The sequence below is a fragment of the Homo sapiens genome, chromosome 18 (assembly GCF_000001405.40).
Source record: "Homo sapiens chromosome 18, GRCh38.p14 Primary Assembly".
NCBI classification, from domain to species: domain Eukaryota; kingdom Metazoa; phylum Chordata; class Mammalia; order Primates; family Hominidae; genus Homo; species Homo sapiens.
In genome coordinates, this window is record NC_000018.10 from 31,587,945 (window position 1) to 31,608,415 (window position 20,471).

At 41.2% G+C, this 20,471-nt stretch overlaps 1 protein-coding gene and 1 long non-coding RNA gene across 2 annotated transcripts; one reads left to right on the plus strand and one right to left on the minus strand.

Annotated features, from left to right (window-relative positions):
* TTR (transthyretin) lies at positions 3,933-10,877 on the plus strand. The gene is made up of 4 exons (NM_000371.4): positions 3,933-4,027; positions 4,952-5,082; positions 7,176-7,311; positions 10,624-10,877. The coding sequence occupies exons 1-4, from the start codon at positions 3,959-3,961 to the stop codon at positions 10,729-10,731; spliced, it is 444 nt and encodes a 147-aa protein (NP_000362.1). The 5' UTR covers positions 3,933-3,958; the 3' UTR covers positions 10,732-10,877.
* On the minus strand, positions 7,634-19,556 carry LOC124904277 (uncharacterized). Its single transcript, XR_007066326.1, has 2 exons — positions 19,429-19,556; positions 7,634-7,751 (listed from the first exon to the last, which is right to left on the minus strand). It is a non-coding gene; the product is annotated as an uncharacterized LOC124904277 (long non-coding RNA).
* Between the last annotated feature and the right edge of the window lie 915 nt (positions 19,557-20,471).

Sequence of the window (20,471 nt, forward strand, 5' to 3'; positions counted from 1 at the left end):
AGCTTCTTCTCCCAGAGCTCTCACTTTGACTCCAGACTACCTACATTTAATCTTTAATTCTCTACCAAAATTTTCTCTTATCTTTATATCTTTTTAATTTTAATTTTATTTTTTGTGGATACATAGTAGGTGTATATATTTATGGGGTACATGCAATGTTTTAATACAGGCATGCAATGTGAAATAAGGACATCATGGAGAATGGGGTATCCATCTCCTCAAGCATTTATCTTTTCAGTTACAAACAATCCAATTACACTCTTTATTTTAAAATATACAATTATTAATTATAGTCACTCTGTTGTGCTATCAAATAGTAGATCTTATTCTTTCTATTTTTTGTACCCTCTCGTCTTTTTATATTAAAAAATAATCTTTATCTCTGTAAGCTTCATCAGTGATTTTCCAATGAAATTTAGGATCTTCTCTATACCCTGAATTGCCTTACTTTCTCCCCACTTCCTTGTCTTATTCAAATGCAGATTTCATTAATGATTTCCAGATCAATGATAGTTCAGAAAGCAAGCAAGTCAAAGTGACCAAGGGCATGGCCTGAAAACTGTTCTAAGAGAGGAATTTACAGAACAACTATTAAATGATGTCAATAGGATTGTATTAGTCCGTTTTCATACGGCTATAAAGAACTGCCTGAGACTGGGTAATTTATAAAGGAAAGAGGTTTAATTGACTCACAGTTCAGCACAACTGGGCAGGCCTCAGGAAACTTACAATCATGGTAGAAGGTGAAGGGGAAGCAAAGCACCTTCCTCACAAGGCGTCAGGAAGAAGTGCCAAGCAAAGGGGGAAAAGCCCCTTGTAAAACTACCAGAACCTGTGAGAACTCAATCACTATCACAAGAACAGCATGAGGGAACCGCCCCTCGTGATTCAATTACCTCCACCTGGTCTCTCCCTTGACACATGGGGATTATGGGTGTTACAATTCAAGATGAGATTTGGGTGGGGACACAAAGCCTAACCATATCAAGGATCAAGTGGTGGGTTGAAACTAACAGGATGAGATATATCAGATACAAACACAGGGTCCCATATTTGGGTTAAAATTCATAAATGATCAAAGCACAGGATGACAGATAATATAGGTCATTTTAGATTATTGTGGCCAACAGATCACAGTGGGTAGTGTTATGACGAAGGGAGGGTCACAGTTACTACAGTTACAGATGGATTCTGGGTACAACATTTGCACTAAAGTGCCTTTGCCAAGGGAGGCAACAGTCTCGACATCCTGTGGCCTGATCTACTTCAGGGACTGTGTCTTGTTCAGAGCATCACATTTGAAGAGAACTTTGACCAAGGGGAATATGCCAGAAAAGGAAGTTCGGGATGCTGAGGATCTTAGGAACTATGTCTAAACAAGATTCATTCACAGAAGTGGGAATGTCTATTTGGCAAAAAGAAAATACTACTTACATGGCTGTTGGAAGACCAGCAATCACAAACTCAGTTTTTCAAAAGGCTGGGCAGAAACACAGATGAAAGAAACAGGCCATGTTTAAGAAAAGATAAAAGCTCACGCATGATATGCCACTAGAGAATCACCTAGCCTCAGTGTTGGCGGGGAGGCCTGGGGAGTCTTGATGTCTGAGAGTGACATTCTGATGATCACTGTCATGTGTAAATGTTGGCCTAAAGCTGCCAATATTTTTGATTTAAGAGAAGCAAGAAATGCAAATTTTTATGCAGCATGTCTCAATTTTTAATTTTGGCAACTATTACAAAATGTTTAAAGAGACTCTGTGCAGCCCAAATATAACATATCTATGGGCTGATGGCAGCCCAGCGTTGCCAGTTCACAGGGTCTACAAGAGATGATTCTTAGTTTCAACAGGGTGCAGTGCTGAAACGCGTGCACAGTAGATTTTGCTTCGGTTATGAAAGAACTTCCAAATATTTATGATTCATAGCCAGAGAAAAGGCTCTCTATCCAGGTTCTGAACAATAGGAAATCATCAAGAGGATATTGGATGACAATATATGAAAGATGTTATTTGAGAAAGGATTCTCTCCTGAGGCATAGATGTTGAACCAAATTCTATTAGTTATGCTTTTACAGCAAGATAGTGGTTTACAGCTTACAAAAGGCTTGTACATCCTCTCATATTAAAAGTTATTAGAACAGTCCTTTGAAGTAGAAAAGTAGGCATTTCTATTTTACAAACGAGTTGGCCGAGTATCTGAGATAGTAGATAACTCATAGAAGGTCATCCGGGAAACGGGGCAGCAGAACTGGGATCGAATGACTCTGGTCATCCAACTCCAAATGCAAAAGTCTTTCTGCTGCTGCTTCCTAGTTAAACTCTAAGGGTCTAAGACTCCATTCCTAGTTATGGTCTCAACTACATTTGCTCATTGCTGTGAGGGGTCAACCCACCTCCCGGAGTCCTCTCCTGCACATTCTCATGTTCCTGAAAGGCTTTTCTGTCCCTTCCACTACTCCCTGTAAGCTCCTGTGCTTCACAATTTCTTGTTGAATTTTTTCTAATCTGACTCTATCAGTTATGGGAATGTTCCCTCAATTCTTAGTGCTCCAAACCGGACTTGCTCTTGGCTTGTATTTGTCCAAAATATTTGTCTTCTCTATGTTTTCTACATGTTTGTCTTATAAGGACAAAAACCTGCCTTAGTTTATCCATGAACAAAGCCACGCATGCTAGTGGACACACACACACATGCGCGTGCGCGCGCACACACACACACACACACATACACACAGAGACTTTGTATGTGAGTAATGAATCATCAAATCATCATAATTTCTGGACTTGTATTAATAAGTCGGCCAGGAGGAAAAGAATCTGCTGTCAATCATGGCTTCTGGTTCTCACAGTCATCTCTACTTTCTTCCAGCAAGTTTGGTTCTGTCAAAAACCAGCTGTCAGCCTTGTTCCTGCATGCCCAATGCAGAAGAGTCAGTAAAGAAGATTTGGTTCTCTGTATTTCAGGGGCATCAATGCCAGGTTGAAATATGCCATTCTGGCCCAGCTCAGTGGCTCACACGTGTAATCCCAGCACTTTGGAAGGCCAAAGCGGGTGGATTGCTTGAGCTCAGGAGTTCGAGACCAGCCTGGGCAAGAGGCTGAGGTGGGAGGATGACCTGAGCCCGGGAGGTCAAGGCTGCAGCGAGCTGTGATCGTGCCACTGCACTCGAGCCAGGGCGTTGGAGTGAGACCCTGTCAAAAAAAAAAAAAAAAAGGAAGGAAAAAAGGAAGGAAGGAAGGGAGGGAGGGAAGATGCCATTCTTAGATTGAAGTGGACTTTATCTGGGCAGAACACACACACACATACACACATGCACACACACATTGTGGAGAAATTGCTGACTAAGCAAAGCTTCCAAATGACTTAGTTTGGCTAAAATGTAGGCTTTTAAAAATGTGAGCACTGCCAAGGGTTTTTCCTTGTTGACCCATGGATCCATCAAGTGCAAACATTTTCTAATGCACTATATTTAAGCCTGTGCAGCTAGATGTCATTCAACATGAAATACATTATTACAACTTGCATCTGTCTAAAATCTTGCATCTAAAATGAGAGACAAAAAATCTATAAAAATGGAAAACATGCATAGAAATATGTGAGGGAGGAAAAAATTACCCCCAAGAATGTTAGTGCACGCAGTCACACAGGGAGAAGACTATTTTTGTTTTGTTTTGATTGTTTTGTTTTGTTTTGGTTGTTTTGTTTTGGTGACCTAACTGGTCAAATGACCTATTAAGAATATTTCATAGAACGAATGTTCCGATGCTCTAATCTCTCTAGACAAGGTTCATATTTGTATGGGTTACTTATTCTCTCTTTGTTGACTAAGTCAATAATCAGAATCAGCAGGTTTGCAGTCAGATTGGCAGGGATAAGCAGCCTAGCTCAGGAGAAGTGAGTATAAAAGCCCCAGGCTGGGAGCAGCCATCACAGAAGTCCACTCATTCTTGGCAGGATGGCTTCTCATCGTCTGCTCCTCCTCTGCCTTGCTGGACTGGTATTTGTGTCTGAGGCTGGCCCTACGGTGAGTGTTTCTGTGACATCCCATTCCTACATTTAAGATTCACGCTAAATGAAGTAGAAGTGACTCCTTCCAGCTTTGCCAACCAGCTTTTATTACTAGGGCAAGGGTACCCAGCATCTATTTTTAATATAATTAATTCAAACTTCAAAAAGAATGAAGTTCCACTGAGCTTACTGAGCTGGGACTTGAACTCTGAGCATTCTACCTCATTGCTTTGGTGCATTAGGTTTGTAATATCTGGTACCTCTGTTTCCTCAGATAGATGATAGAAATAAAGATATGATATTAAGGAAGCTGTTAATACTGAATTTTCAGAAAAGTATCCCTCCATAAAATGTATTTGGGGGACAAACTGCAGGAGATTATATTCTGGCCCTATAGTTATTCAAAACGTATTTATTGATTAATCTTTAAAAGGCTTAGTGAACAATATTCTAGTCAGATATCTAATTCTTAAATCCTCTAGAAGAATTAACTAATACTATAAAATGGGTCTGGATGTAGTTCTGACATTATTTTATAACAACTGGTAAGAGGGAGTGACTATAGCAACAACTAAAATGATCTCAGGAAAACCTGTTTGGCCCTATGTATGGTACATTACATCTTTTCAGTAATTCCACTCAAATGGAGACTTTTAACAAAGCAACTGTTCTCAGGGGACCTATTTTCTCCCTTAAAATTCATTATACACATCCCTGGTTGATAGCAGTGTGTCTGGAGGCAGAAACCATTCTTGCTTTGGAAACAATTACGTCTGTGTTATACTGAGTAGGGAAGCTCATTAATTGTCGACACTTACGTTCCTGATAATGGGATCAGTGTGTAATTCTTGTTTCGCTCCAGATTTCTAATACCACAAAGAATAAATCCTTTCACTCTGATCAATTTTGTTAACTTCTCACGTGTCTTCTCTACACCCAGGGCACCGGTGAATCCAAGTGTCCTCTGATGGTCAAAGTTCTAGATGCTGTCCGAGGCAGTCCTGCCATCAATGTGGCCGTGCATGTGTTCAGAAAGGCTGCTGATGACACCTGGGAGCCATTTGCCTCTGGGTAAGTTGCCAAAGAACCCTCCCACAGGACTTGGTTTTATCTTCCCGTTTGCCCCTCACTTGGTAGAGAGAGGCTCACATCATCTGCTAAAGAATTTACAAGTAGATTGAAAAACGTAGGCAGAGGTCAAGTATGCCCTCTGAAGGATGCCCTCTTTTTGTTTTGCTTAGCTAGGAAGTGACCAGGAACCTGAGCATCATTTAGGGGCAGACAGTAGAGAAAAGAAGGAATCAGAACTCCTCTCCTCTAGCTGTGGTTTGCAACCCTTTTGGGTCACAGAACACTTTATGTAGGTGATGAAAAGTAAACATTCTATGCCCAGAAAAAATGCACAGATACACACACATACAAAATCATATATGTGATTTTAGGAGTTTCACAGATTCCCTGGTGTCCCTGGGTAACACCAAAGCTAAGTGTCCTTGTCTTAGAATTTTAGGAAAAGGTATAATGTGTATTAACCCATTAACAAAAGGAAAGGAATTCAGAAATATTATTAACCAGGCATCTGTCTGTAGTTAATATGGATCACCCAAAACCCAAGGCTTTTGCCTAATGAACACTTTGGGGCACCTACTGTGTGCAAGGCTGGGGGCTGTCAAGCTCAGTTAAAAAAAAAAAGATAGAAGAGATGGATCCATGAGGCAAAGTACAGCCCCAGGCTAATCCCACGATCACCCGACTTCATGTCCAAGAGTGGCTTCTCACCTTCATTAGCCAGTTCACAATTTTCATGGAGTTTTTCTACCTGCACTAGCAAAAACTTCAAGGAAAATACATATTAATAAATCTAAGCAAAGTGACCAGAAGACAGAGCAATCAGGAGACCCTTTGCATCCAGCAGAAGAGGAACTGCTAAGTATTTACATCTCCACAGAGAAGAATTTCTGTTGGGTTTTAATTGAACCCCAAGAACCACATGATTCTTCAACCATTATTGGGAAGATCATTTTCTTAGGTCTGGTTTTAACTGGCTTTTTATTTGGGAATTCATTTATGTTTATATAAAATGCCAAGCATAACATGAAAAGTGGTTACAGGACTATTCTAAGGGAGAGACAGAATGGACACCAAAAATATTCCAATGTTCTTGTGAATCTTTTCCTTGCACCAGGACAAAAAAAAAAAGAAGTGAAAAGAAGAAAGGAGGAGGGGCATAATCAGAGTCAGTAAAGACAACTGCTATTTTTATCTATCGTAGCTGTTGCAGTCAAATGGGAAGCAATTTCCAACATTCAACTATGGAGCTGGTACTTACATGGAAATAGAAGTTGCCTAGTGTTTGTTGCTGGCAAAGAGTTATCAGAGAGGTTAAATATATAAAAGGGAAAAGAGTCAGATACAGGTTCTTCTTCCTACTTTAGGTTTTCCACTGTGTGTGCAAATGATACTCCCTGGTGGTGTGCAGATGCCTCAAAGCTATCCTCACACCACAAGGGAGAGGAGCGAGATCCTGCTGTCCTGGAGAAGTGCAGAGTTAGAACAGCTGTGGCCACTTGCATCCAATCATCAATCTTGAATCACAGGGACTCTTTCTTAAGTAAACATTATACCTGGCCGGGCACGGTGGCTCACGCCTGTAATCCCAGCACTTTGGGATGCCAAAGTGGGCATATCATCTGAGGTCAGGAGTTCAAGACCAGCCTGGCCAACATGGCAAAACTCCGTCTTTATGAAAAATACAAAAATTAGCCAGGCATGGTGGCAGGCGCCTGTAATCCCAGCTAATTGGGAGGCTGAGGCTGGAGAATCCCTTGAATCTAGGAGGCAGAGGTTGCAGTGAGCTGAGATCGTGCCATTGCACTCCAGCCTGGGTGACAAGAGTAAAACTCTGTCTCAAAAAAAAAAAATTATACCTACATTCTCTTCTTATCAGAGAAAAAAATCTACAGTGAGCTTTTCAAAAAGTTTTTACAAACTTTTTGCCATTTAATTTCAGTTAGGAGTTTTCCCTACTTCTGACTTAGTTGAGGGGAAATGTTCATAACATGTTTATAACATGTTTATGTGTGTTAGTTGGTGGGGGTGTATTACTTTGCCATGCCATTTGTTTCCTCCATGCGTAACTTAATCCAGACTTTCACACCTTATAGGAAAACCAGTGAGTCTGGAGAGCTGCATGGGCTCACAACTGAGGAGGAATTTGTAGAAGGGATATACAAAGTGGAAATAGACACCAAATCTTACTGGAAGGCACTTGGCATCTCCCCATTCCATGAGCATGCAGAGGTGAGTATACAGACCTTCGAGGGTTGTTTTGGTTTTGGTTTTTGCTTTTGGCATTCCAGGAAATGCACAGTTTTACTCAGTGTACCACAGAAATGTCCTAAGGAAGGTGATGAATGACCAAAGGTTCCCTTTCCTATTATACAAGAAAAAATTCACAACACTCTGAGAAGCAAATTTCTTTTTGACTTTGATGAAAATCCACTTAGTAACATGACTTGAACTTACATGAAACTACTCATAGTCTATTCATTCCACTTTATATGAATATTGATGTATCTGCTGTTGAAATAATAGTTTATGAGGCAGCCCTCCAGACCCCACGTAGAGTGTATGTAACAAGAGATGCACCATTTTATTTCTCGAAAACCCGTAACATTCTTCATTCCAAAACACATCTGGCTTCTCGGAGGTCTGGACAAGTGATTCTTGGCAACACATACCTATAGAGACAATAAAATCAAAGTAATAATGGCAACACAATAGATAACATTTACCAAGCATACACCATGTGGCAGACACAATTATAAGTGTTTTCCATATTTAACCTACTTAATCCTCAGGAATAAGCCACTGAGGTCAGTCCTATTATTATCCCCATCTTATAGATGAAGAAAATGAGGCACCAGGAAGTCAAATAACTTGTCAAAGGTCACAAGACTAGGAAATACACAAGTAGAAATGTTTACAATTAAGGCCCAGGCTGGGTTTGCCCTCAGTTCTGCTATGCCTCGCATTATGCCCCAGGAAACTTTTTCCCTTGTGAAAGCCAAGCTTAAAAAAAGAAAAGCCACATTTGTAACGTGCTCTGTTCCCCTGCCTATGGTGAGGATCTTCAAACAGTTATACATGGACCCAGTCCCCCTGCCTTCTCCTTAATTTCTTAAGTCATTTGAAACAGATGGCTGTCATGGAAATAGAATCCAGACATGTTGGTCAGAGTTAAAGATCAACTAATTCCATCAAAAATAGCTCGGCATGAAAGGGAACTATTCTCTGGCTTAGTCATGGATGAGACTTTCAATTGCTATAAAGTGGTTCCTTTATTAGACAATGTTACCAGGGAAACAACAGGGGTTTGTTTGACTTCTGGGGCCCACAAGTCAACAAGAGAGCCCCATCTACCAAGGAGCATGTCCCTGACTACCCCTCAGCCAGCAGCAAGACATGGACCCCAGTCAGGGCAGGAGCAGGGTTTCGGCGGCGCCCAGCACAAGACATTGCCCCTAGAGTCTCAGCCCCTACCCTCGAGTAATAGATCTGCCTACCTGAGACTGTTGTTTGCCCAAGAGCTGGGTCTCAGCCTGATGGGAACCATATAAAAAGGTTCACTGACATACTGCCCACATGTTGTTCTCTTTCATTAGATCTTAGCTTCCTTGTCTGCTCTTCATTCTTGCAGTATTCATTCAACAAACATTAAAAAAAAAAAAAAGCATTCTATGTGTGGAACACTCTGCTAGATGCTGTGGATTTAGAAATGAAAATACATCCCGACCCTTGGAATGGAAGGGAAAGGACTGAAGTAAGACAGATTAAGCAGGACCGTCAGCCCAGCTTGAAGCCCAGATAAATACGGAGAACAAGAGAGAGCGAGTAGTGAGAGATGAGTCCCAATGCCTCACTTTGGTGACGGGTGCGTGGTGGGCTTCATGCAGCTTCTTCTGATAAATGCCTCCTTCAGAACTGGTCAACTCTACCTTGGCCAGTGACCCAGGTGGTCATAGTAGATTTACCAAGGGAAAATGGAAACTTTTATTAGGAGCTCTTAGGCCTCTTCACTTCATGGATTTTTTTTTCCTTTTTTTTTGAGATGGAGTTTTGCCCTGTCACCCAGGCTGGAATGCAGTGGTGCAATCTCAGCTCACTGCAACCTCCGCCTCCCAGGTTCAAGCAATTCTCCTGCCTCAGCCTCCCGAGTAGCTGGGACTACAGGTGTGCGCCACCACACCAGGCTAATTTTTGTATTTTTTGTAAAGACAGGTTTTCACCACGTTGGCCAGGCTGGTCTGAACTCCAGACCTCAGGTGATTCACCTGTCTCAGCCTCCCAAAGTGCTGGGATTACAGGTGTGAGCCACCGTGCCCGGCTACTTCATGGATTTTTGATTACAGATTATGCCTCTTACAATTTTTAAGAAGAATCAAGTGGGCTGAAGGTCAATGTCACCATAAGACAAAAGACATTTTTATTAGTTGATTCTAGGGAATTGGCCTTAAGGGGAGCCCTTTCTTCCTAAGAGATTCTTAGGTGATTCTCACTTCCTCTTGCCCCAGTATTATTTTTGTTTTTGGTATGGCTCACTCAGATCCTTTTTTCCTCCTATCCCTAAGTAATCCGGGTTTCTTTTTCCCATATTTAGAACAAAATGTATTTATGCAGAGTGTGTCCAAACCTCAACCCAAGGCCTGTATACAAAATAAATCAAATTAAACACATCTTTACTGTCTTCTACCTCTTTCCTGACCTCAATATATCCCAACTTGCCTCACTCTGAGAACCAAGGCTGTCCCAGCACCTGAGTCGCAGATATTCTACTGATTTGACAGAACTGTGTGACTATCTGGAACAGCATTTTGATCCACAATTTGCCCAGTTACAAAGCTTAAATGAGCTCTAGTGCATGCATATATATTTCAAAATTCCACCATGATCTTCCACACTCTGTATTGTAAATAGAGCCCTGTAATGCTTTTACTTCGTATTTCATTGCTTGTTATACATAAAAATATACTTTTCTTCTTCATGTTAGAAAATGCAAAGAATAGGAGGGTGGGGGAATCTCTGGGCTTGGAGACAGGAGACTTGCCTTCCTACTATGGTTCCATCAGAATGTAGACTGGGACAATACAATAATTCAAGTCTGGTTTGCTCATCTGTAAATTGGGAAGAATGTTTCCAGCTCCAGAATGCTAAATCTCTAAGTCTGTGGTTGGCAGCCACTATTGCAGCAGCTCTTCAATGACTCAATGCAGTTTTGCATTCTCCCTACCTTTTTTTTCTAAAACCAATAAAATAGATACAGCCTTTAGGCTTTCTGGGATTTCCCTTAGTCAAGCTAGGGTCATCCTGACTTTCGGCGTGAATTTGCAAAACAAGACCTGACTCTGTACTCCTGCTCTAAGGACTGTGCATGGTTCCAAAGGCTTAGCTTGCCAGCATATTTGAGCTTTTTCCTTCTGTTCAAACTGTTCCAAAATATAAAAGAATAAAATTAATTAAGTTGGCACTGGACTTCCGGTGGTCAGTCATGTGTGTCATCTGTCACGTTTTTCGGGCTCTGGTGGAAATGGATCTGTCTGTCTTCTCTCATAGGTGGTATTCACAGCCAACGACTCCGGCCCCCGCCGCTACACCATTGCCGCCCTGCTGAGCCCCTACTCCTATTCCACCACGGCTGTCGTCACCAATCCCAAGGAATGAGGGACTTCTCCTCCAGTGGACCTGAAGGACGAGGGATGGGATTTCATGTAACCAAGAGTATTCCATTTTTACTAAAGCAGTGTTTTCACCTCATATGCTATGTTAGAAGTCCAGGCAGAGACAATAAAACATTCCTGTGAAAGGCACTTTTCATTCCACTTTAACTTGATTTTTTAAATTCCCTTATTGTCCCTTCCAAAAAAAAGAGAATCAAAATTTTACAAAGAATCAAAGGAATTCTAGAAAGTATCTGGGCAGAACGCTAGGAGAGATCCAAATTTCCATTGTCTTGCAAGCAAAGCACGTATTAAATATGATCTGCAGCCATTAAAAAGACACATTCTGTAAATGAGAGAGCCTTATTTTCCTGTAACCTTCAGCAAATAGCAAAAGACACATTCCAAGGGCCCACTTCTTTACTGTGGGCATTTCTTTTTTTTTCTTTTTTTCTTTTTTCCTTTTTTGAGACAAAGTCTCACTCTGTTGCCCAGGCTAGAATGCAGTGGTGTAATCTCAGCTCACTGCAACCTCTGCTTCCTGGGTTCAAGCGATTCTCCTGCCTCAGCCTCCCAAGTAACTGGGATTACAGGCGCATGCCACCACGCCTAGCTCATTTTTGTATTTTTAGTAGAGATGGGATTTTGCCATGTTGGCTAGGCTGGTCTACGAACTCCTGACCTCAGGTGATCCACCTGCCTCAGCCTCCCAAAGTGCTGGGATTACAGGCATGAGCCACTACACCCGGCCCCTACTCTGGGCATTTCTTTGATTAAAGAGAAGGGGAGCTCCAACAAGATACACCTGCAGCAACTCAGGCCGTCTGATCAGTTCAGGCCAGATCTACACTGCAACCAGCCAGGTCAGGGGAAAACCAAAGAACCCCACACACCCAATTTACTTAGGCTGATCCAAAATCCATGTATGGAGAACTCACATGCACCAGGCACTATTTTAGGTGAACTGAATATAAAGAATAGGACCCAGTACCTGCATTTACTTAAAGAACTCACAATCTTTTGAGAACATAACTGTTTCATCATGGTTTGGCAGGAGGCTATGGTACAAGGCACAGCAAGGGTAAGAAGGAGGAAGAAACCAACACCCTACAGAAATCAGGGAATGACTCTGAATAGGTGTCACTTAATCTGAGTGTTGGTAATTTGTCAGATAGACAAGGGAAAAGGTATTCTAGGTAGAGAGAATACAGTTTGCAAGGCCCAGCCAAGTGAAACAATTTGATAAGTTGAGAGAGCAGACGACGATTCAGAATGTTGAAGGGCAAAGGTATTGAGGTGGGATGGGTTATGCTGCTATCACAAATAACCCCAAATCTCGGGGGCTTAACAAAGTAAAAGTTTAGTCTCAGTTGTGCCAGGTCCAATGTAGAACTCTTTGCTCTAGAGACTCTTTAGGGTGGCTTTCCTTCTAATGGTGACTGTTTGAGACAGTTTGATTTAGTCTTGTGGCTTCAAGGTCACTCTGGTGATATTTAGCCAGCAGACTGAGGGAACATAGTATGGTATTAGACCCCTCTGTGCTGAAGTGTCACACATGAGTCCCATTGACTTCTCACTGGCCAGAGCTAGTTACATGCCCCCATCTAGATGTGCTGAGAAATGTGGCCCCTGGCTGGGAGCCATTTCCCAGAACAACTAACTCTATGCTCTGGAAGAGGAGCACTAATCTGAGTTGGCCAACAACCATCTCTACCACAGTAGGGTTGGGACTGGTGGGGCATGAGGCTGGAGTGAAGGTTGGTTTTATCTGCCACGCGTTACAGCTGTGAATTTGTCTTGAAAGCAACATGGGTCCATTGAAGGGAACCTTGACATCAGTCATGTGGCTGGGACAAGAATAGTTACCACTTGCCCGTAATCTCCAACCAGGATTCTCCAGGAGAACCTGAGTTAGACACATGGCTTAGGCCTAAACCTACCTGAGTGGTCTTTCTATTTTCCTCCAAATTCAAATCTCAAATCTTGCTACCCTCTAACTGGCTATGTTGAGAGAGGAAAAAACTTGAAGAGAATGCAGTGTAGCTTTGGAGTTTTTCACATGCACTTTTCCCAAGATACATAGCAAAATCAATGTCTCCAATTCTATTAATGTTGTTAGCAAGTCCTTGTTCCATGCATATTGGTTAATCCATAGCAAATTGCCATTTTTATAGACTAAATGGTCAAATATTGGCAATTTCATAAGGTTCAGTCTATTACCTACCATGATTGTATTGGTCACTAACCTGCCTATTTTTAGAATGCTACATATTCATTTGGCTGTTGTTAAATAGCTATGGATTTTTATAATCAAAACAGGTTGAAAATATGAATCAGTTTAAAACCACATACATGTGGCCAAGCACGGTGGCTCATGCTTGTAACCCCAGCACTTTGGGGGGCCAAGGCAGGCAGATCACTTTAGGTCAGGAGTTCAAGACCAGCCTAGCCAACATGGTGAAACCCCATCTCTACTAAAAACACAAAAATTAGCTGGGCATGGTGGCGGGCACCTGTAGTCCCAGCTACTCAAGGCTGAGGCAGGAGAATCGCTTGAACCCTGGGGAGTGGAGGTTGCAGTGAGCTGAGATCACGCCACTGTACTCCAGCCTGGGCGACAGAGCAAGACTCTGTCTGAAAGAAAATAAACTATATACGTATTTTTAAAGGAACTGGTTCATGCAATTATGGGAGCTGGCAGGTTTAAAATCTACAGGGCAGGCCCACAGGCAGGAAACCCAGGGAAGGGTTGATGTTGCAGTCTCATCCGGAAGCAGAATTCCTTTTTCCTCATGGGTCAGGAGGAGGAGCCTGAGTCTATTCTTTTAAGGCTGTCAAGTGATTGGAAGGGGCTCACCCACATTATGAAGGGTCATCTACTTTGCTCAAAGTCTAGGGGCTTAAATGTCAATCACGTCTAAAATATACTTTCACAGCAACATCTAGGCTGGTGTTTGACCAAAAATAGGCCTAACCAAGTTGACTGTAAAATTAACCATCACAGTCCCCTTCCCCAAATTTGTTCATCATAGAATGAAATCTTTGGCCACATTCCTATTCTTGAGGTCACGGGGAAAACTGATATATCATGATGAAGATCCCTCCAGCTTTAGGGAATTAAGAGATGCCTGTGTTTCTGATTAGTGGGGAAGGCTATGAATGGAATTAATTAACATACTCATTTATCTTTTGGGGTATCTTATGGGAATCAAGTGTAGGGCTGGCTGGAGCCCACCAAGGTTGATATGTTAGAAGCAGGATATTGGCAGGATTTTCTTATAAGCATTCATCGGCATTTCAAGGCTTTAGGTGAGCAGTTCCTCACCATTTAAATTAATTGAGAACTCAATAACTACTCCGGCAAAATTAAGTTTCTCTGCTTTTCAGGGCTTTCCAAAGCTCCCCAGATGGCTTTGGGCAAATTGCTTGATCTTATGTATCTATTTTCTTATCCCAAAACAAGCCTCCAAACCTAGCATTCAGTGGCTCTCTAACCTGAACCTAACCTACCCCTCCAGCTTTTTCCATCGTGAGTTTCCAGCTCTCTGCTTCTGAAAATCTAGTTCCCATCTCCCTCTCTGCTATGATCACACTAACTCCCACCAAGACATTTTAGCTGATGTGGTTTTCTACAACTTAGACAACTATTCCTCCACATGTCCCATCTTTTAAATACGATTCATAATCTCTTTAATATACACAGAGTTCTAGTGAATTTACATTAAATAAGTGGGCCCCCTGTATAAGATGGCAGATGTGGGTGGACACGCAGTCCACATGAGAGGTTCAAACGGCGAATACCATGAGACAATATGTTCAGTATTGCAAGGCAAAAAGAGAAGTTGAGCTAAATATTAAAAGTAATTTTTGACTTTCAGAATGGCAAAGATTTCAATGAATATAAACCTAGGACAAAATTTGGAAGAAGCCCGCAGGAGGTTTTATTCATTTCCTGGGGCTGTAATAATAAAGTACCAAAAACAGAGTGGCTTAAAACAACAGGAATGTATTGTCTCACAGCTCTGGAGGATAGAAGTCTGAAATTAAGGTATTTTCTGGGCCATACTTCCTCCAAAACTCGCAGGGGAGAATCCTTCCTTGCCTCTTCCTAGCTTCTGTTGGTGGCACTTGATCTTTGGAGTTCCTTGGCTTGCAGCCACATCACTCCATGATCTGCCTCTGTCATCACATGATGCTCTCCCTGTGTCTTTTTCCAAATTTTCCTCTTCTAAGGACCCCAGTCATGCTGGATTAGGGTCCACCCTAATTACCTGCTCTTAACTAAATACATCTGTAAAGACTATTTCCAAATAAGGTCACATTCACAGGTCATGATTTTTGCAAAGGCACCTTTAGGTCTTTGTTGTTCTGTGTTAGTATCTTCTGCTTATGTCCTTTCGTGGCCATTGTTATGGGTGAAACTATGTCCCCTGAAAAAGACATTGAATAAAAATCTGACATAGTTGGCTCCATCTTGCTTCTAACCTTCAAGCTGTACCTTAGTCATTCCTGGGCATAGGCCAAGCTAACTTTGAGATGAATTTATTGTCTTTTTTAACCTTAAAGCAAGAATAATAATAGCTTTTCCCAAACTAAACCACCTTTGTGAAACTAATAAAAGGGCACAAGTTTAGGATTTTGAGATGTGCCTAAATTATGCTAAGATATAGGCATAATTAAACACTAACCAGCCACTCACTATTGTGGAGGTCACAAGATTTATAACTTCCCCAATTACTCCTGTAAATAACATCACCATTATAAAACCTAAGATTGGCCTTTTAAAAGGTTTTTTTCAGACTTTTACACTTCTGACAATCAACTGACTTGGACTTCACCTCAACCCACAACTGTGACTCAACTGGTCCTGTGGCCCTCACCCAGAGGCTGACTCAGTGCACAAGGACTGTTTTCCACACCCCTATGATTTCATCTCCAACCAATCAACATTCACTACTCCCTAGCCCCCTGCCCACCAAACTATGCTTTTTTTTTTTTTTTTTTTTTTTTTCTGAGACAGGGTCTTGCTCTGTTGCCCAAGCTGGAGGGCAGTGGCACCATCACGGCTCACTGCAGCCTCAAACTTCTGAGATCCAACAATCCTCCTGCCTCAGTCTCCTGAGAAACTGGGACTTCAGGTGTACACCATCACACCTGGCTAATTTAAAAATGTTTTATAGAGACAGGGTCTTACTATGTTGCCTTGGCTGGTCTCCAACTCCTGGGTTCAAGCAGTCCTCTGCCTTGGCCTCCCAAAGTGCTGGGATTACAAGTGTGAGCCAGCACACCTGGCCCACACTTTCCTTTAAAAACCCCTAACCTCCAAGTCTTTGGGGAGACTGATTTGAGTAATAACTCTAGTTCTTCCACATGGCTGGCCTTGCATTAATTAAACTCTTGATTTACTGTAATACCATGGTCTCAATGAATTGCTTTTGTATGCACAGCAGGAAAAATGCATCAGGCAATTACAGACCAAGGGAGCAAACAACCATTTCAGTCGAAGCAGCATGGGCAGAGGACAGTCAGCGACCAGACAACACATTCCCCTTTATGTCAAGATGCTCCATAGCCTCCAAAAGGTGGATGGAATTCATGGAAAAACAAAGAAGGCTGAGCATTAAACTGGAAGTCAAATTGAGTTGGTTTCAACAGGTAAGATTAAGTAGGCTGATACCAAAAGGAACTATGGACAGGAAAGCTAAGTTTAATTCAGATATATGTATAGCATCGCTCTCTCTCTCTCTCTCTCTAATACACACACACACACACATACTCACACATTATTTGTTCTGTTTCTCTGGAGAACACTGACTTATACAGGTACTGTACTATCATCCACCCTTTGAAGGTCCCTTTGTATGGTAATAGGGAAGACTTGTAGGTTCTGGAGCAGGGGAACAACATGATGGAAGTTGAGTTTAAGAAAACATTTAATCACTGATCATCAGAGAAATGCAAATCAAAACTACAATAAGATATCATCTCAGTCCAGTTAACATGGTTTACATTACAAAAAAACAGGCAATAACAAATGCTGGCAAGAATGTGGAGAAAAAGAAGGGAACTACCATTTGATCCAGCAATCCCACTACTCAGTATCTATCCACACAGAGGAAAAGAAGTCATTATATGAACAAGACACTTGCACACGCATGTTTATAGCAGCACAACTTGCAATTGCAAAAATATGGAACAGCCGAAATGCCCATCAATCAATGAGTGGATATATATATATATATACCACAATTTTTTTATCCACTCATTGATTAATAAAGCTACTTTTTATGGCTGTGTAGTATTCCATTATATATATGTATATATACTTTTTATGGCTGAGTAGTATGATATAAAAGGAACCAGATAATGGCATTTGCAGCAACCCGGATGGAATTGGAGACCATTATTCTCAGTGAAGTAACTCAGGAATGGAAAACCAAGCAGCGTATGTTCTCACTCATAAGTGGGAGCTAAGCAATGAGGATTCAAAGGCATAAGAATGATACAACGGACTTTGAGGACTTGGGGAGGGGGGATGGATGGGAGCGAGGTGAGGGATAAGACTACAAATTGTGTGCAGTGTATACTGCTCTAGTAATGGGTGCACTAAAATCTCAGAAATTATCCCTAAAGGACTTAATCATGTACCAAATACCACCTGTTCCCCCAAAACCTACGGAAATAAAAAATAAAAATAAATAATAAAGAATGTGGAGAAAATGGAAGCCTCGTACACTGTTAGCGGTAATGTAAATTATTACAACCACTGTAGAGGACAGTTTGGAGGTTCTTCAAAAAGCTAAAAATTCAGCTACCACATGATCCAGCAATCCCACTGTTGGGTACATCTCCAAAAGAAAGGAAATCAGTATATCAAAGAGATATCTGCACTCACTCCTATGTTTGTTGCAGCGCTGTTGACAATATCTAAGATTTGGAAGCAACCTAAGTATCCATCAACAGATGAATAAAGAAAATGTGGTACGTATACACAACAGATCACTATTCAGCCATAAGATCCAGTCATTTGGAATACGGTAGATGGAACTGGAGATTATTATGTTAAATGAAATAAGCCAGGCACAGAAAGACAAACATTGCATGTTCTCACTTATTTGTGAGATCTAAAAATCAAAACAAGTGAACTCATGAACATAGAGAATAGAAGGACAGTTACCAGAGGCTGTGAAGGACAGTGGGGGGCTTGGGGGAGGCAGGGATGGTTAATGGGTACAAAACACAGAAAGAATAAATAAGACCTACTATTTGATAGTATAACAGGGTGACTATAGTCAATAATAACTTAACTGTATGTTTTAAAATAACCTAAAGAAGGTAATTGGATTATTTGTGACTCAGAGGATAAATGCTTGAGGGGATGAATTTAAAAAGGAAAACAAAGTTTGTAGGAATGAACATCATAGGACTGATTGGGAGAAGGTAGAGGAATCATACTGCCATATTGGTAGCAATGAAGATTTGAGGTGATGTGACGTTGCATTAGGGAGGCAGACATGGAAATGCAAGAAAAGGAATGCATGTCAGATCTTAAAATGTATATGTGATGGGAAGAGGTTTGATTTGCATTCCTCAGGGAAAAATCATGAGGTAGATTAAAAAGCAACCGATGCCTTGCAGGGGGATGAATGATGAGGCTCTGATCCCATTTACCTGTCTGGACTTTCTACCTTGTGAATCAATCATTTGTATCCCAATATGAAAACATAAAGTCAGTCTTTGTAAAGAAGCTGTGTGTGCTGTGGGTATGGTTGACGGTAAATGTTTAACTGGCTCTTTGGAGAAAAAAAGCTAGCTCAAGGTTGTAATGTTTGCCAATTTTCATGGTAAAAACAATCTCACCATGGCAATTTCAAACTACCACCATGATGTCATTAAATGCACAGTTGGGAAGAGTTATACAGTAGTCTGGTGTAGTATTTCTACCATACAGATACAACAGATAGAAACAGCCTCAAGAGGACAGGTAAGGTAGTTAGGAAGTAATAAGATTTGACTATTTATTACCTTTGTTTGAATGTAAGTTAATGCTAAGTTCAATAACCAGCTTACAAAATTTCTGAAAATTTAAAATAAGCCATTAGTTGCTGATTCCAGCACACTACTGCACATATCCTCTGTGTTACAACTCCTTTCTATAACGGTGTGAGTGGGTATGTGTATGAATATTGAGGCGGAGAGTTTAAACAAGAGTGTCATTTAAAAGAAGGGTATTCATTCTCATAAAATGTCCCTGCCCTTTTTAATAAGATGAAAAAGCTACATATGATGTCTATGTAAGGCACACTCAAATAAACATAATATTTGAATGGGACATTAATATGTGAGAGGCTATTTCACAATTACCTCTTCTAAAGGCTCTCCTTTGCCACATATTCTATCTTGAGGGAACCAGGAATCCCCGTTGAAATCAGTGGATGCCCTGAGACTATGAACCTAGACTTTACAGGTAAAAATTACTGGTCTGGTCACATATAGAAGTTGATTAGTGATTTTTTCCCATTAACCATCCTCATATTTCAAGATGCTAGATTGCTAAAGCCTGGAAAATCATTTCTGATATAAGAACAGATATTCAGCAGTTTTGGAGATGGAAGCAATGCCAGAGATGGGACTATTTCTTCTTATTGTTTTAGATGTAAACATTAAAAAAAAAAAAACAGGATGCACACTTAGTCCCTACCTCTAAGTGTATTTGTCTCTCTCTCTAGTCATCTTCTCCTCTCCCTTCCCAGAGCCCAGGGCTGTGTTTTGGGAGCTGAGTTAGAAGCAGCTGCGGAGTGGTGCTGCCTAAGGACAAAAGAGAAATTATTGGAGACGATATAATAAATGAATGGAGTCATGTGAAATAGGGGAGGCATGGAAATGAGCACGTGTGGTCAGCACTGCTGGAGAACCCAGGTCAGAGAGCAGAGGGCAGCTTGATGGATGTGGATAGCTCATGCACCTTGCCCCTTGTATGTCAGGCCAGGCACTTTGTTAGTGAAAGCAACATAGAGGAGTTGTTTCTCCCACATCAATCGCAGGTTTTTAAGCAGAGATGCGTCATGTTTAGATTAGTATTCCAAATCAGTGTTTCTTATTTTTAAAAAACATCTATACAATGTGCTATGGTTTGATTGTATCCCCTCCAAAATTCAGGTGTTGCCAATGTGATGGTACTATTTGAATAACCCTTATTTAAAATACTTGGGACCAGAAGTGTTTCAGATTTCAGATTTTTTTCCAGTTTCTGAGTATTTGCATTATTGGTTGAACATCCCTAACCCAAAAATTTGAAGTCCAAAGTGCTCCGCTCAGCATTTCCTGTGAGCATTCTGTTGGAGCTCAAAATGTTTTGGCTTTTGGAGCATTTCAGTTTTCAGATTTTCAGATTGGGGATGCCTGTATTAAGAGGTGGAACTTTTAAGAGGTGATTAGGCCATAAGGACTCTTCCCTCAGGAATGTGATTAAGGCCCTTGTATAAGACAATTCACACAGGCTTCAGCTCTCTTGCCCTTCCCCCCTCCAAAATGTGAGGGCACAGTGTCTCTCCCTTTTTGGAGGACACAACACCAAAGTACCATCTTGGAAGCAGACACTGGGCCCTTACCAGCTGGCACCTTGATCTTGGACTTCATAGTCCCCAGAACTATGATTTCTGTTCTTTATAAGTTACCTAGCCTAAAGTATTTTGTTATAGCAGCACAAAGAGCCTAAGACACCGTGTTTATTTAATTTTTCAT

What these genes read in the sequence shown, in the direction of transcription:
- TTR (NM_000371.4), top strand. Translation starts at nt 3,959, where the DNA reads ATGGCTTCTCATCGTCTGCTCCTCCTCTGCCTTGCTGGACTGGTATTT. An exon ending in TGGGAGCCATTTGCCTCTGG is followed by an intron (nt 5,083 to 7,175) that starts GTAAGTTGCCAA and finishes CACACCTTATAG; the next exon opens with GAAAACCAGTGAGTCTGGAG. An exon ending in CATTCCATGAGCATGCAGAG is followed by an intron (nt 7,312 to 10,623) that starts GTGAGTATACAG and finishes CTTCTCTCATAG; the next exon opens with GTGGTATTCACAGCCAACGA.